Genomic DNA, 16,066 nt, shown 5'->3' with positions numbered 1-16,066 from the left:
TATTTTGGTGATCTGTGCTTTTGTAGTATCAGTTTATGCCACACACACACACACACACACACACACACACACACACACACACAGAGACCAGAAGCACATATCACAGGAAAAATATGTTATATGTTTTTATATATATTGTATATTATCTATATTTCCATGGTCAGTGCTCCTCTGATCTCTCTCCATCTAAACAACATATATATTATTTATATATTAATATATAATATTTCTGTATATGCCCATAGATGCATACACAACAATTTGATTCCATAGAAGCACAGGCCATGGAGATCTATAAATATATATTATATGTAATTAAATATATTTTATATGACATATAATATTACGTATACATGGTATATATATCTCTCTCTCTCCAATAAGTCAGTGGTCTGTGTTTCTGTTTCTTTCCACCCTGTAATTCAGCATCATGTGACGTCATAAAATAATCTGAGTTCTTTCCTGTTTTTTGCTTCATTCTGCACTTAGTTTGGAAAATGCTTTCTTTGAAGAAAAGTCACCCCGGTAAGAGACTTCTCAGGGTAGGGGTGACACGGATAGTGATCCAGACGCTTTCTTTTTCTTTTTTTGGAGACTCAATTATTTTACAAGCAACGTCTTTTTCACTTTACCCAGTGAACAAGTGGCATGCTTATTTAGCAGAGAGCAGCCACCAGTGGAGGAGAGGCAAACAGCGCACAGAGCTGTGCTGAAGGATAACAGTGTGAAAACAGAACAGAAACAGAGAGCAATCGCTGGAGGGCTGAAGAAGTGTGACTATCGCTGGTCCCTGTGGCTTCCAGAGGCCCAGTCCCTGAGCCACGTACACTGGACCACGATCCCTTTTTCCTCCCCTTCCACTGTCCCTGAACAGCAGAGAGAGGAACAAAGAGATCCAGTGTTCCCAGAACCCAGGCCAGATCTTGACACATCCAGAATTCCACAGTAGTATGCCCATCCCTTCTCTCCAAGTACTGTGATTTGGAGACTTATTATTAATCACACAGAACATATTTTTATCCAGTTAGCCATTTTTGTGTCATCCGTTCATTCTTTATTCTTTGGGTCAAATTTCTGTGAACCCTTATCCATTTTCATGACAGCCCAGCTTGTTTACAGGGAAACAGTTTTACTTTCTGTGTAAATTAAGATTTTGTTCTAACTTCCTTTTGTCACATTTTGTTATGGAGGAATATTTGGGCTAGCTGTTTATTTTTAAAAGTATTATCATGAACCCTTTTCTTACAAAAATTATGTGTGAAATTATTATTCTGAGGTAATCCTACTTTTACCCTGTACATAGCACTCAAGTGATAAAAAAGAATAGTTGGTATAAGAGGGTTTGTTTTGACCAGGGAGAGGCAGAAAAGCGAAGTTATAAGGTTGGACTTTTAGTTTTGTCTCTAGCTTGTCATCTGTAATTAATGTAGAGCATGACCTCTTTCCTCAACTGAAGATTTGGGGAATGATTGACACAAAGTCAGATTTTTACCATGAGAACAAAAATGACAGTTTTGAAAGTTACACTCTTTCTTTTGAGGCGTTGGAGTTTCTCACCGACTAAAATTTTTCCCACTGCTTATTGCAGAGGGCTTGATTCTCATGTGAAATGATCTGATAAGCAAAGAATTATCAGAATGTAAACAGAAATCAATTGGCCATTGGGTGCACCGGTGATCACGGACAAAATACTCTTCCTTTAAACAGAAACTATACACTCAGTTTGTATCTAAATGAATGAACACTAAATTAAGTCCAAAGATCACTAGTGTGATTTTAGGTCTAATTCTTATTGATATGAGCAACAAATTCTCACCTCTTTCATTAATATCACTGGGAATTTAAACTTTGATATTGATTCACACTGAACACTATATGAGAATGTTGTATATCTAGCTTCAGATCGTCTGTTCAGAGATTGCTCCGAGTGAGGAGCCCACAAGTATTTATCATAGCCATACTAAAATTCCAAATGTGAGAGCAAACTTTCAATTTGAACTAATTAGGGAGGAATGTAAGACAGTTTATCATTAAATGTAGAGTTGTTCCTGTCTGTGGATTTCAAAGTGAAGGGAAGCCATCAGGAGGGCTGGGTTAACCCGGGAAGGACTCAACCAGGAAAAGGCAAAGAGAGAGAGAGATGGGGAGGTAAATGGATAGCAACCTAGAAGAGGCTCCATTCGAGAAACGTAAAACCTGAATCAAAGAGAATAAGCCACGTTGCATACATCATGCCAGGTACAGCTCACTCTCATGCTCCATGGCCTCTCTGTGGGGTCCTCCAGGAGGGCTGCCCTATGTTCAGTGCCATCTTAGGGAGGCCTGGAGTGTTAAGCCATCGCAAGTTGGAACCTGAAAATTGCCAATTTCAAATGAATTTGGAGTAGAATGGGGTGATGGATGTATCACTCCAAGAGCCAACCTAGAAGATATGTTCAAAAGGAGTTGTACTGACAGTTTAAAAAGTTTGGAAAGTAAAGCTTGGTGTAAACTTGATGTAAAGCACCTGGTCACTTTCACTCCACAGTACCTCAAGGTGATGAGCTATTTTGGTAGCTCTTCCTAGTAGGACAATTCTCATAACCCAGACATCTTCATGAAATTGTGTAAAGGTATACTGACTACTGTCTTTCAGAACAAATTTCCTTTTAGAAAAATCATCTAGGGCAAGCTTGTCCAACCCATGGCCCACAGGCTGCATGTGGCCCAGAATGACTTTGAATGTGGCCCAACACACATTTGTAAACTTTCTTAAAACATGATGAGACGTTTTTGCATTTTTTTTTCTTATCAGGTATCGTTAGTGTTAGTGTGATTTATGTATGGCCCAAGACAATTCTTCTTCTTCCAATGTGGCTCAGGGAAGCCAAAATACTGGACACCCCTGATCTAGGGCCTGTATATGGAAAATTCTGAGATGACTGAACCCTGAATTGCACATAGAAGGGTCTCCTTTCTCTCTCTTTTTCTCCTCGTCAAAAGGGGGTTAGGGTTAGGGTTAATAAAAGGTTAATTCCCAAGTATAAAATCTTTTGGTTTTCAAGTTTTTGTTGCTCGACCTATTTCTTCTTATGTTAGTCTTAAGCCTTAGACAACCCAAAAGTGAGTTAAAAATAGAACTAACATTTTCTTTAAAAGTTTAAAGAATCTTCCACTTTTGGATGTGAGTGAGATTTTCTTTAATATTCGACTTTTCCCCCTTCTTTTTTTGGCAGCCTTTAAATGTACAAATCTCATTGAAGTCATTCCAGGCTGAAAAGCATTTAAGAACAAATATCATAAAGCTAAAAATAAATATTCTACTCTTTCTGTAGAGGCTATTGGATATTTCTCTTAACATTCTGGTCAGGTGGCCTTTTAGCAAGAGATGGATGCTAAGAGTTGTGGGGGGCAAATGCAGTGGGAAGCTCAGTAAATAATTCAAAAATAGCTACACTCCAAACCAGCCTTCTGTGCTAAGCAATTTGGCTTAATTCAAAACTTAAATTTTTTTTTAAGTGGTGATGCAGCCAAAACTCCAGGGCCAGTATTATCTTACACTAATTGTAGCTACCGCATATACTGGCTTAAAAGCCTTCTCCCCTTTTCCTGGCAACATTTCCTTGGATTTCCTTTGTGTAACAACCTGACCTGACTCTCGGTTCATATGGTTTGAGCAGGGCAACCCAGTCCTCTGGAGTGAGGGTGAGGAGGAGGAATGTGACTCAGGTTTGGCAAGTCAGAGACTTGTGGCCAGTACTTTCGCTAGAACTGTTGGGGAAAGAGAATATTTCTGCACTGATTGCTAAGCTGTTAGGTGTAAACACGAGAATGAAATCTGTCTGAACGTGAAGCCAGTACAGAAGAGGGAAGAACCTAACAATTGCGTTTGAATACCTGGCTCCAGCTGTACCTGAAGCTTTGCAGCTACTGAGACATTAAATTCCCACTTCCTTTAGTTTAACTTGGGTTTCTGGTAATTGAGTTTTGAATAATAGATCCCTCTTCAGTATCCTTCTCTATTCCTCAATCCTCACCAATTTTCAAGGGATTCTTTGCATCTGACACCAATTTGGTTATTTTTATTTTTATGTTTTTACCCTTGGCTGAAAATTTTCTTTTAAAGTTGCATACTTCTATTTCTTTGGGTGGCATAAACCAAAACAAAGCACCATTGTTCCTCTTAAAATTAAAACAAACTAAGAGACAGGAGGGCATGATGGCTCAAGCCTGTAATCCCAGCACTTTGAGGGGCTGAGATGGGTGGGTCACTTCAGGTCAGGAGTTTGCCAGCCTGGCCAACATGGCAAAACCCCATCTCTACTAAAAATACAAAAATTAGCCAGGCCTGGTGGCACATGCCTGTAATCTCAGCTACTCGAGAGTCTGAGGCACGAGAATCACTTGAACCTGGGAGGCGGAGGTTACGGTGAGCTGAGATCGTGCCACTGCACTCCAGCCTGGGCAACAAAGCAAGACTCTATCAAAAAAAAAAAAAAAGGAACGAAGAGACAAAGACAGAAAGACAGTTAATCATCTCTACTTTTATCGCTAAGGTACGGCATAAACTTGGCTTGCCACAATTGCAGAGATTCAAAGAAGGAAGACGGCATTTATAATGAATATTGAAAGGTGAATTAATTCCACAGGGTGTTGTCTGTTAACTTATTAACTGTATGACTGTAATCAGGTTTCTGTATCTTTTTCTTACTCCCAGACCCTGGAAAGACTAGGACATAAGCCTGGGTGGTGCATGCTCTTGTTCCCACTGAAATTTTGCAGATTCACCCGATTCCAAGGGACTTTCACCACATTACTGACAATAAAGAATAAGAATTGTGTTTTATCTGCCCTGGCATCCAGTGTCAAGGGTCCTAGTATAGAATACTATACTCTGAAAATGTTTGCTGAACAAGCTAGTTTATCTAACTTTGTAGCCAAAGTGTACATTTGTTGTATGTAGCCACCTCTTCAATACTGATTTTTTTTTGAGCACCTTCTGTAGTCAGGTTCTGTGAAATGCACTAAGAATACAAGAAGGATGCATATTCCACCCACCTGTGCTGGGAATTTATCATTACAGATGGAAAACTGGCCAGTAGAGTTAGTCTCCCGTTCTTCCCCAAACCAATAGAAGCTGCAATAAAGAAATGTTCGAAAGGTGGTAATCCACAAGGACAAGGAGAACAGGACAGAAGGAAATAATGAATGAAAGATGTGGGGTTTTTTTTGGAATAAAGGAAGGGAAGTGATGGAAGAGCAGTAATTGCCTTAGCAGAAAGGATAGAGCTACAACCCAGCTCTCAACATGGAGATACCTGTGATTAATGAACCAGTTTGCCCCATGGAACTCAGCACCATGAGAAATGAGATTGAGGAACAGGGCTGGAAAGAGATGGATTTATTGTAAGAATGGATCTAGAGGAAGCTAGATCTCCAGGGTCTTCCCCTACTCCATGCAGCCTCCCAGGGAGGCCACAGAGGTTTATTATTTGAAAATACTGAGAAGCTCCTGACTTGAGAACACCAGACAGTGGCAAGACCTGGGATAGAAAAGGCATGTAAATACATGCCTATATTACTGAACTTGGAGAGCTTGACCTCCTTTCTCCATCCTGCCTCTGGTGCTATCGTGTGCATATTACCTGGCTGGGAGCTTAGGGAGTCCCCTCGAGAAAAGACAGGTGCATAAATACACACACCTGGAGAAAAGCATTGATTCAGCTTCAGTAACCCAGCATATACTTCTTCAGGGTCTCATCCCTGTCCCCACAGGACACCATCAACCTGGAGGGACCGGAAAACACGCATCACAGGGAGTGAGCCACTCTGTAGTTGAGAAGTCAATTTCATACTAGAGCTGAATGGTTTTACGGTCCGCAGCTGTATCCAAGAAGGGCGAGGGGGAAAATTCCATGCCTCACTGGTACCAGGTAGGTTGATGGGAAAGAGCCTCATGACAACCTTCGGCAGGACACAGAGCCTCCTGCAAGATAGGGAGGTGGATGTGAAATGGCCTGCGACAGCCGTGGATAGCTTGCTCATCATGCCATGTTCCAGAAAGGAAAACAGAGCATTCTGCCCAGACACGGTTCCAACGCCATTGAGTCTTGCCTACATGGCTTTTGTGGGAGCATGCAACGCCACAGGCCACTTTGGCCAGGGCATCCCCTACAACTATCACCACTCAAGGTCTTTTAGAAATTTCCAGCACTGTGGTATTTTAATGAAAAATGTAGCTTTTACCTCCACCTGGCTTAACTCATCAGGTGTGCTCTGTGTTTATCAGATGTCTTTCAAGGTATATGTACCAGTTAGATCACTTGGTGGTTGGTCTGTAATGAGGGATGTCATAAAGATGGCTTTCCAGCTCTCTCTGTTTCTGAAAAACTAATAATTCCAACTTACTCTAGTAAATTTCAAAGTGAGAAGAAATTTTTCAATAAGACAAAATAAAATTCTAATTAACAACTATCACATAGTATATTCTTTCCTCTTCTTTCTTTCTTGTTTTTTTTTTTTTTTTTTTTTGACAGGGTCTCACTCTGTCATCTGTCAGGCTGGAGTGCAATAGTGTGATCATAGCTCACTACAGCCTTGAACTCCTGGGCCCAAGGGATCCTCCCATCTCAGCCTCCCAAGTAGCTGGGTCTACAGGCACATACCACCATGCCCAGCTAATTTTTTTTAAATTTTTTTGTAGAGATAGTAAAATTATACCTTAAAATTAACTGAACACCTAAGGCTTAACGAAGATTCTACACAGTGTTTTATTGGAGTCTTTCAAAAGACTTGTGAGATAAGCAGAGCTGACTTCATCTTCATTTTACAGTAAAGTGACTAAAGATCAGAGAATAAAAATGTTTTGACAAAAACATCACTGCTAGTAAATACAAAAAAAAAAAAAACACTTAAACATAGGCCTGACATATTTTTACTTATTTGTAATTATATTTGAACTCATACATGTTCTCTAAGGCATAAAAACAGAAACTAAGGAGTTTTGTAAACCAGATTCTACATTTTTTTATTTTTTTAGGCTAATCTAGCTTTCTATTCGGGTCAGTTCCTAATAGAGACCACAGAATGTCTACTAAATCACTGCCATGAAAGGTGAATGGATTTCTTTTCATTTTTTCTTTTTATTTTCCATGAATCCCAAAATACCCAGCAAGACATGCTGTCTCTGAGAAATATCCTGTTACCTAAAATGTAATCAGTTCAGTCCAAAACCACCTGCCCAGCAAGGCAGATAGGAAAATTAAATGAAGAGTATGTTCCTCCAGCTATAAACTAAGGTGAAATTTCTATAGAGGCAGAAAAAAAGTAAAAGTACCAGAGAAAGCTAGGTTTTTATAGAAAATGCTACCTGCCACCAATATAGTTAGAAAATAGAGGTTTAGTAAACATCAGAAAAAGGAGGACAATCTAGTTCTTCTTATTCTGTTTCTTGGTGCTTGCTGGTATTAGAAATCCAGTCCTCTTGGCAAGATTTCTGAGAAGCAATGGACATATTTTTATGCCCATCACTGACCTCTTTGAGTCATGTTCTTATGGTGGATTCTTTCCCATTTTCTCTTCCAGACAGGGCGCCTCCCACATTGCACTTGACGACGGCTGGCTACCCAAACGTGGCCTTCTGTTGGGCTGTTGTATTTTTATGTAGTGGCTTGCCAAATCCTGTGCCTAATTTAAACTTGACCCATTCCCAGCCTCCCTGCACTGTCTCTGGGTTTGCTGTTGTGCCCATGGGCAGGGCAGCTGGGCCTGCAGTGTAGTGTAGCCATCATCTGTTTCAGGCTTAGCTCCACCCAGCTCTAATCAAGGCCTCAAGAAGCTCTTTCTATTCACAACCATGTGGAATGCAACATTTCCACAACTTTGCAAAGCATTTTGTAAGGTTGCCTTTAGGTCAAGGTGAACTTAAAAAGCAGTCGTGCAATGAGGCTAGAAAACAATTGCTGGATGAACGTTAAGAAACCACTCATTCCCCACCTTACGAAAGTGAAAAGTCATAAATGAATTGATTTTGTTTAGCATAATCGAATGACTTCTTGGCTAGTGCTTTTTTTTTTTTTTTTCCATTTCTCCTCAGCTGTGGAGAATTCCACAAGTTATTTGGGTTACCAGCCTATCTGGAATAGCACTGCAAGCTATCAGCAAGCAACCCATCAATTTATCTTTCACGAAAATAACCAGCTCTGCTGCTCCTGGTGAGCTTTCTTCTACTCATGTTTCCAGATGTTATGTCTCTTCACCTCTGTCCACCTGACACTTGGCATCAGAGCACAAGTGTGGATCACCTCCCTGTGAGCAGGTGACTGCTGTCCTTCTTAGATGAGGTGTCATCCTAGGCAGAGGCTTTGTCATCTGAACCTCTTTGAAACCTGCCTAACTTGTGTGTGACATTGAGCACCTACAGTATCTGAAACCCAATTTTCTCATCAGTAAAATGAGGATACCAATACCTTTCTCACAACATTGTTGCAAGTATTAAATGATCAAATAAGGTACCCAGTAAAATAGAAGGAATTCATGACATATAAATTCTTCTTTAATAGAGACTCCGATTGTTTTTCTTCTTTCATTTACTTTTGTTTCAATTGAATTTTCTATTATCCTGTTCCAATCAACAGCGGTTTTGATTAGAATATTTTCTGATGTTTCGGAAATATGTCAGTGAAGGACTAGGGGTGTGCTTCTCCTGCATTTTTGTACATAAACTAAACATCCCTTTCAGCCACACCCTCATGGATGGTTTACCATTTCAGTAGTACAAAAAGCCACATATGAAAAATTAAATAAATGAGAAGCGTGTTATACTACTATCCACCCTCCCCAAGGAAATTGATATCACTGTATAATTTCTTCTCATTATGATTATTATTAATATAATGCTTTTATTTTTCTTTTATTGACATATAGGGAAGATTTACCAAGATGTAAATGGTTCCACTTAAAATTTATGTTAGCAAATTTTCCCCCGTTCTTCTTTATTGCTCTGAGCTATTGGAGTATCTGGCAGTTTCTCAAGGTACCCACCACTAGGTGGTAAAATGCTTTTAAATTCGGGATGTGTCAGCATTGTATCTCTGGAGAAATGGAATAAGTGAGAATCAATTGCTAATTTCTTATTTATACAAAAATACACTACTGGTTTGAAAACACACCTATATATCTCTGATAACTTAAAGGACATGATAGTGGCCAAGATTGGGGGAAAAAAGTATCCACATCTCTATAGGACATTCTTGCTGTAAAGAAATACCTGAGACTGAGTAATTTGTAAAGAAAAGAGATTTAATTGGCTCACGGTTCTGCAGGCTGTAGAGGAAGCATGGAGGCATCTGCTTCTGGGGAGTCTTCAGGGAGCTTCCAGTCATGGCAGAAGGCAAAAGGGGAACAGACACACACAGGTGAAAAGCAGGAGCAAGAGGAGGGGGAGGTGCTACACACTTTTAAACAAACAACCAAATCTCATGAGAACTCCCTTCCTATTGCAACAACAGTACCAAGGGGATGATACTAAGCCACTCACGAGAAATCCACCCTCATGATCCGGTCACCTCCCAACAGGCCCCGCCTCCAACACTGGAGAGCACATTTCATCATGAGATTTGGGCAGGGACAACATCCAAACTATATCAACGTCTAAGCTGCATCCATATTTTAAACATCTTTCTCCCACTCACCAAGACTAAAATAAACTACACTGCTTCCCTCTGTCTTCCATTTCCAAGTCTGTCTCGAGAAAAGATGATGTGAGACAGGGATCAGGATTCAGACTCAGATGCCACACTCCCTTGATCAAGCTCAGCTCCTCCACTCATAAACTTTTTGACCTTGGACTGGTTCCCCAGTTTTATGGTGCTTCTGTTTCCTCATCTGCAGTAAAGAGAGTAATAATAGTTGTTGTAAATCTTAAATGAGTGAATATAGGTAATGTATTACTGTAGTACCTGACTGCTGATAGAAGATGCTCAGGATGTTTTAGCTATGGTTGTGAGCTATCATAGAGCAGAATAAGGAGAAGAAGCTAGAGGAAATTCACAAGATCCAGATTTCCTTAGCTTTGATTATTTAGTGCAACTAAATATAGGTCTTTAAAACATGATTATACACGTAATATTATATATACACAATATTTTATATATATATATATATATACACACACACACACAATTTATGGATAGAACCCAAAAGCAAAGTAAAGTTTACTCTCTCTGATAAAAATACTGACCCACTGAATTAATGCAGCTGAGTATTGTGTTATTAGCTTTCATCCCACTTCTGACTGCTAGGGTGCTTGTGGTCAGCAGGAAAACTCATGTGTTTCAGTCGCTGTCTTCCATTCTGTCTTGCTGCTTTTTAAAATTTTAAATGTAGGACTTTGGTTTTATGGTTTCATTTTCTTGGACTCAGCCCATCACATACTCTCTGTCTACATTCAGATGGGAGCAATTCCTTATGCATCTAAACTATTAGGCCCGAAACTAGTTAGAAAACATAAATTTTTATTGTTCTGATTAAAATTATGCCTATAATAATTAATCTACTTGCAGGTATTATTCTTAGAAAATATCTCATTGTAGGCCGGGTGCAGTGGCTCATGCCTGTAATCCCAGCACTTTGGGAGGCCGAGGCAGGTGGATCACCTGAGGTCAGGAGTTCGAGACCAGCCTGGCCAACATGGTGAAACCCCATCTCTATTAAAAATAAAAAATTAGCTGGGGTGGCACACACCTGTAGTCCCAGCTAGTCAGGAGGCTGAGGCAGGAGAATCACTGGAACACGGGAGGCAGAGGTTGCAGTGAGCCGAGATCGTGCCAGTGCATTCCAGCCTGGGCAACAGATTGAGACTCCATCTCAAAAAAAAAAAAATCTCATTATTCAGTAGGTTTCTGTATTTTACTTGAATGTTCTACTAGCTGAGTATAGAGGTGTTTAAAGCCCTGGAAGGATAGCTCTCGGTGGTCTTCATACTAGCCCACTTATCTGAAAAACACTGATTATTGATTGAATGCCTACTACATGTCAAGCTAGGATCATGGAATACAGAGCCTACTAAATGTCAGGCTAGGAGCATGGAATACAGAGCCTACTAAATGTCAAGCTAGGAGCATGGAATACAGAGTTAAGTCAGACACAATCCTTATACTTCGAAAGCTTCCATTGTAGTGGGGAAGAGAGAGTTGATCTTCATAGTACTGTGTCGTAAGTGTTGTAATAGAAGTAAAAAGGAGGCCACAAGAAAGACAAACCCCAAACACATAGTAGAGATAATTTCTTTTGCTTCATGTAACTATTACAGCTTTTTATGAGAAATGGGAATGTTTAGTCTTAAGGACACACTATGGGCAACTTCACACAGCTAATTAGCCACTAAGCCCTTTGGAAAATTCAAACCTCCCGATGTTAACTTATGCAAAGTAGAGCACACTGTATTTCAGGCCCAGAGGGAAACATTTCTTGTCCTCTCTTTCCACTATAAGTTAATTATTTGTTTCACTGGTCCCAGAGGCTTCTTGACAACCAAACTTCTTTGAAGATTCTATCTTATTTCCTCACATAGCGAGCTAAAGGGCCTAGTAGGTCAGTGTCACCTGAACATTTAGGAATGTTCTGCACAAATGCATGTAAATAGATTTGTTTTGTGATTCCTATTTCTAAGTCATTCAAGTACCTTAATTTAAAAGCTTCAGTGAGTGCCTTTTAGTGGGTCTTTGATGTGACGGTGATTATAATTTGAGGAGCGAGAGGAAAGAGTGTGAATAGTTGGGCTCATCTAAAGAGATGGGGTTTCTTAGGAGAAAAGAAAGAAGTCTGCAAGAACTTAAGAAAGACACGTTGAGCACACAGTGTTGCTAATTGTATATATTAAGATTACATGTTGTTTTATTTTTAATGGTAATGAACTTGGAATATGGCTAAGGAGAAGCAAACAGAAATTGAGATCTTCAACTAAGCATTTAACGAAAGTCCTATGACTATAGTTTCTTTATTTGTGTTGCTTATGCTACGGAGATCAGAGCAAACCTGAGCTGGAAGGGTCACCTTTCTTCAGCATGATCCCTTTGAGCAGGGACCATCTTAGAATGGGGTAGATGCTTCAGAGGTCTATATCCACATATCAGTGAGCACACATTTCTGATTGCTCATCCATTCTTGCATATAGACAGACTCAAGGAGGGAAAATGAGGAACACCTTCAGGGAGAGTGAAAATAGAGTTAGGAGTGATATCAAATCAAAATTCCATAATGTTGGTAGTTGAGTTTTCTTGCATTAGATGAGATGAATAAGAATTTCATTTACTCCATTATTCATTTATAAGATATACTTTATGCTACACTTAACTTCCACTTAGGTAAGTTTATATACTCTTTTTACCTTTTTAAGATGCTTTTTTACTGTGTATCTTCAGTAACTATTCTTTGGTAAATAATACTAAATAACATTGCTATAGTGCATGCCAAATGCCAGGTATTGTTCTAAGTACATGATTTATGTAATCCCCGCAACAATCTTGCGAGATACTATTATTAGCCTAATTTAACATTTGAGGAGTTTGAGGCTAAGAAATAGCTTGTCCATCATCACTCAGTTAATAAATAAAGTGTATTACATGCAGGCATAAGACTTAGCTCTTCCTCTTGAGGATATACCCTCTCAATAAATTTATTGGATGGCCAAAATGATTTGTTGAATAAGTAAATGGGTGATTTGTTTTTAAGAATAACCATAAGTAATATAGAGAGGAGAAACACTTTTTTATTTTGAGCATTAATTTCACATCTAAATTTTCTGATAATTTAAGCTGAAAAGAAATATGGTGGTTTAAATAACTCCCATTGATATAAAATAGAAAGATAATGTGTTAACGTAAGTATTGAACTTCAACCTGGCATCGAGGTGTTTCCTACAACATAAGGGCCAATGTCTTAAGAAGAGCATTTAAGAAAACACATAAAAATAATTTTTATATAGCTACTCTATAAAATTTGGCAGAATTTGGAAGGGGTGGGGGTAAATTTTGGGGAGTACCCAGTGTAAGCCCACTCATTTGCCAGGTGTTTGTCTATAATATATCTGTCATATATCTATTATATCTATATCTATAATATATCTGTAATATCTCTATTACAGATATATCTTTTAATATATCTTTTAATATATATTAAAAGATAATATATATATATCTCTATGATATATCTTTTAATCTGATTATCTTATCATTATTTTTTGCTATTGTCCCCATTTTATAGCTGAGAAAATCAAGACTCACACAGACAAATTAGCTTGTTAAATTTACATAACTAATAAGTGGTGGAGGTGTATCTTCCCGATTCTAAAATCCATGGTTTCTCTGTGAGGCCACATTTAAAATACAATGATGAGGCAGCTAAAGAGTCTCATAGGTGTGACTTTCTAATGTGCTACACTTAAAAGAAGTGATATTTTTCTTGCATCCTTTTTTTTTGAAGACGTCATACAGGAAACCCAATAAATAAAAGACATGAATGTGGAGGTGTTTCTATTGGAGAGAATGTGTGCCTCTTTTCTCCTCCTTCATGACAGGGATGGATATGGCACTACGGATGCACAAAGAACATCCAGAGTACTGCTAAAAATCCAGATTCCTGGATTCTGACTTTTTTTTCTTTCTTTGTCTCTTTTTTTTTTAAATGAGGTCTTATGTTGCCCGACTGGTCTGGAACTTCTGGGTTCAAGCCATCCTACTGCCTTGGCCTCCCAAAGTGCTGGGATTACAGGCATGAGCCACCTCACCTGGCCAAATGTTTGGTATTTTTTGTTGTTGTTGTTTTTGAGTCAGGGTCTTGCTCTGTTGCCAGGTATGAATGCAGTGGTGCAACCACTACAGCCTTGACCTCCCTGGCTCAAGCAGATCCTCCCACTTCAACCTCCTGTGTAGCTGGGACTGCAGGTGTGAGCATGCCTGGCTGATTTTTTTTTTTTTTTTTTTGGTAGAGACTGGGTCTCTCTATCTTGCCCAGGCTGTTCTCCAATTCCTGGGCTCAAGCAATCCTCCCACCTCGGCCTCCCAAAGTGCTGGGATTACCGATGGGAGCTGCCACACCCAGCAGAATCTGCATTTTAAATAGGTACTTCCAGGGATTTCAATATCGGTGTCTTGTGAAAAACACTGACCTACAAAAAGCACAGCACCTTTCTCTTATTTGATTTTTTTTTTTTTTTTTTTTTTGAAACTGAGTTTCACTCTTGTTGCCCAGGCTGGAGTGCAATGGCATGATCTTGGCTCACCACAACCTCCACCTCCCAGGTTCAAGCGATTCTCCTGCCTCAGCCTCCCTCGTAGCTGGGATTACAGGCATGTGCCACCATGCCCGGCTAATTTTGTATTTTTAGTAGAGAGGGGGTTTCTCCATGTTGGTCAGACTGGTCTCGAACTCCCAGCCTCAGGTGATCCGCCCACCTTGGCCTCCCAAAGTGCTGGGATTACAGGCGTGAGCCACCGCGCCCGGCTTTATTTGATTTCCTTCATGTGGCAGTGTCGTTAGTTTCCTGACAAGATCCTCTACATTCTTCAATACAGGTAAATTTTACTTGGATTGCAAAAACAAATGCTTATTTCATTCATTATAATATCACCATCATTTTTACATGCAATAAAAAAAAAACAGAGCAGTGCTTGGTACATAATAGGTTGTCAATAATGTTAGCCAAATGGATGGATGGGTGAATATTATAATTGTAAGGAATTGTTACATGTTGGAAAATAGGACAAGATATAATACCTGAGTCCAGATCAAAAGCCGGTGAAAGCAGGAAATTTTAAATGGCCCACAAATAAATAAATCCTGTACCTTTAAAGAGAACAGGCCCTGTGTTTAAAATAGCTGCTCTGGGGCCTATTGACTAAATCACCTGCCTCTTGGGATTCACATGCTGAGCGGCTGTAGTGCTGCTCTGAATCTCTGTGTGGAAGCCTGCACTTCTGACGGTTGATAGGCCTTCATCTGAGCCAAAAACAAGACATTTACTGCCTTTTTTAGAGGAGACTATTGAGTAAGTGTGTGTAGTGATTGAACCTCCACTTCGTATTCACCATCGACCCAGTAATGGAATGCCTGCTTAGACTGCAGCATTATAGTGCAATGCTAATACTCCTGCCCCTTAGAACTCCTATTTTTCTTTTTGCTTCTTTTGCATCCCAGTGGTAACTACTGTCATTATAAAAGTTGGGATAATCCATACTAGCTTTATGCAAGTAAAGAACTGTCATTGAAGAACTGTCTACCCTGAGCTTATTTTCTGCAACCAAACAAAGCAAACATCAAAAAGCTGTTTGCTACTTTGAATTACTATCCAGGGTTGAAATGAACACCTCAGACTACACAAGACTTATATCCGTGTGTGTGTGAATTCAGTGGAGGAGTAACATGGCTGTTTCCAACTCTCCTTTGTATGGAGTGGTGTTGATAATATTGCGGGAAGGGGAAACTTGATCTGTGCCCAAATACACTTGTGAAAGGAAGAGTTAACGAAGTAAAACTAGGCTATTTACAGAAGTAATAGGGTCTTTAACACGTTAGTGTTCATAGTGAATTTTCAAACCAGGGCTATACTCTACGGTGTTTCCTGAAGTTATTTCATCCAAGAGGCCATTTTTAGGCATCTCACAGGATAAGTGGGTTAAGGAGCACACTTTAGTATTTATAGGGAAGCAAAGACCTTTGGGGAAAAAAAGGGGTATTGCATTTGTATATTTTTCTTTTCAGAAATAGCCGGAAAATATGAGCAGCCTGGGGAGTCAATTCAGTAACTGCAGAGTCTGGGGAAAACTACTTCAGTTCTAGGTCACCTATTTTGACATTGCTCCCATATGAAATGCTCTAATTCTTCAAAACTATTAACTTCCATTGAGAGATTTAAATAATTTGAGTCTCTCTTACCTCAGTCTCTCTGATCAAATTTTCACCGGTAATCTGATGTTGGTGAGAAATTGTGATGGAATAAGGTTGAATAAAAACTAAGTGAGGACTTGATGAATCTTTTTGACTGTACAGTATGGTTGTTGGCCGGCCAAGCATTTGAGGGGCTAGCAGG

At 39.5% G+C, this 16,066-nt stretch overlaps 1 protein-coding gene across 22 annotated transcripts in view, besides 1 other annotated feature; it reads left to right on the top strand.

Annotated features, from left to right (window-relative positions):
• The window catches only part of RGS7 (regulator of G protein signaling 7), a 582,489-nt gene that overhangs the window by 278,846 nt on the left and 287,577 nt on the right, over positions 1-16,066 (top strand). The gene's annotated exons all lie outside the window — the stretch shown is intronic.
• Positions 11,359-11,949: an enhancer, noted in NCBI's record as "NANOG hESC enhancer chr1:241229736-241230326 (GRCh37/hg19 assembly coordinates)". NCBI's record gives its function as "activates a minimal SCP1, AML or CMV promoter by ChIP-STARR-seq in primed H9 embryonic stem cells {active_cell/tissue: H9 hESC(primed)}" and the evidence as "EXISTENCE:reporter gene assay evidence [ECO:0000049][PMID:30033119]".

The sequence above is a fragment of the Homo sapiens genome, chromosome 1, assembly GCF_000001405.40.
Source record: "Homo sapiens chromosome 1, GRCh38.p14 Primary Assembly".
NCBI classification, from domain to species: Eukaryota; Metazoa; Chordata; class Mammalia; order Primates; family Hominidae; genus Homo; species Homo sapiens.
Note: the sequence above shows the minus strand (reverse complement) of the source record. Positions and strands in the feature narration are given on the sequence as shown.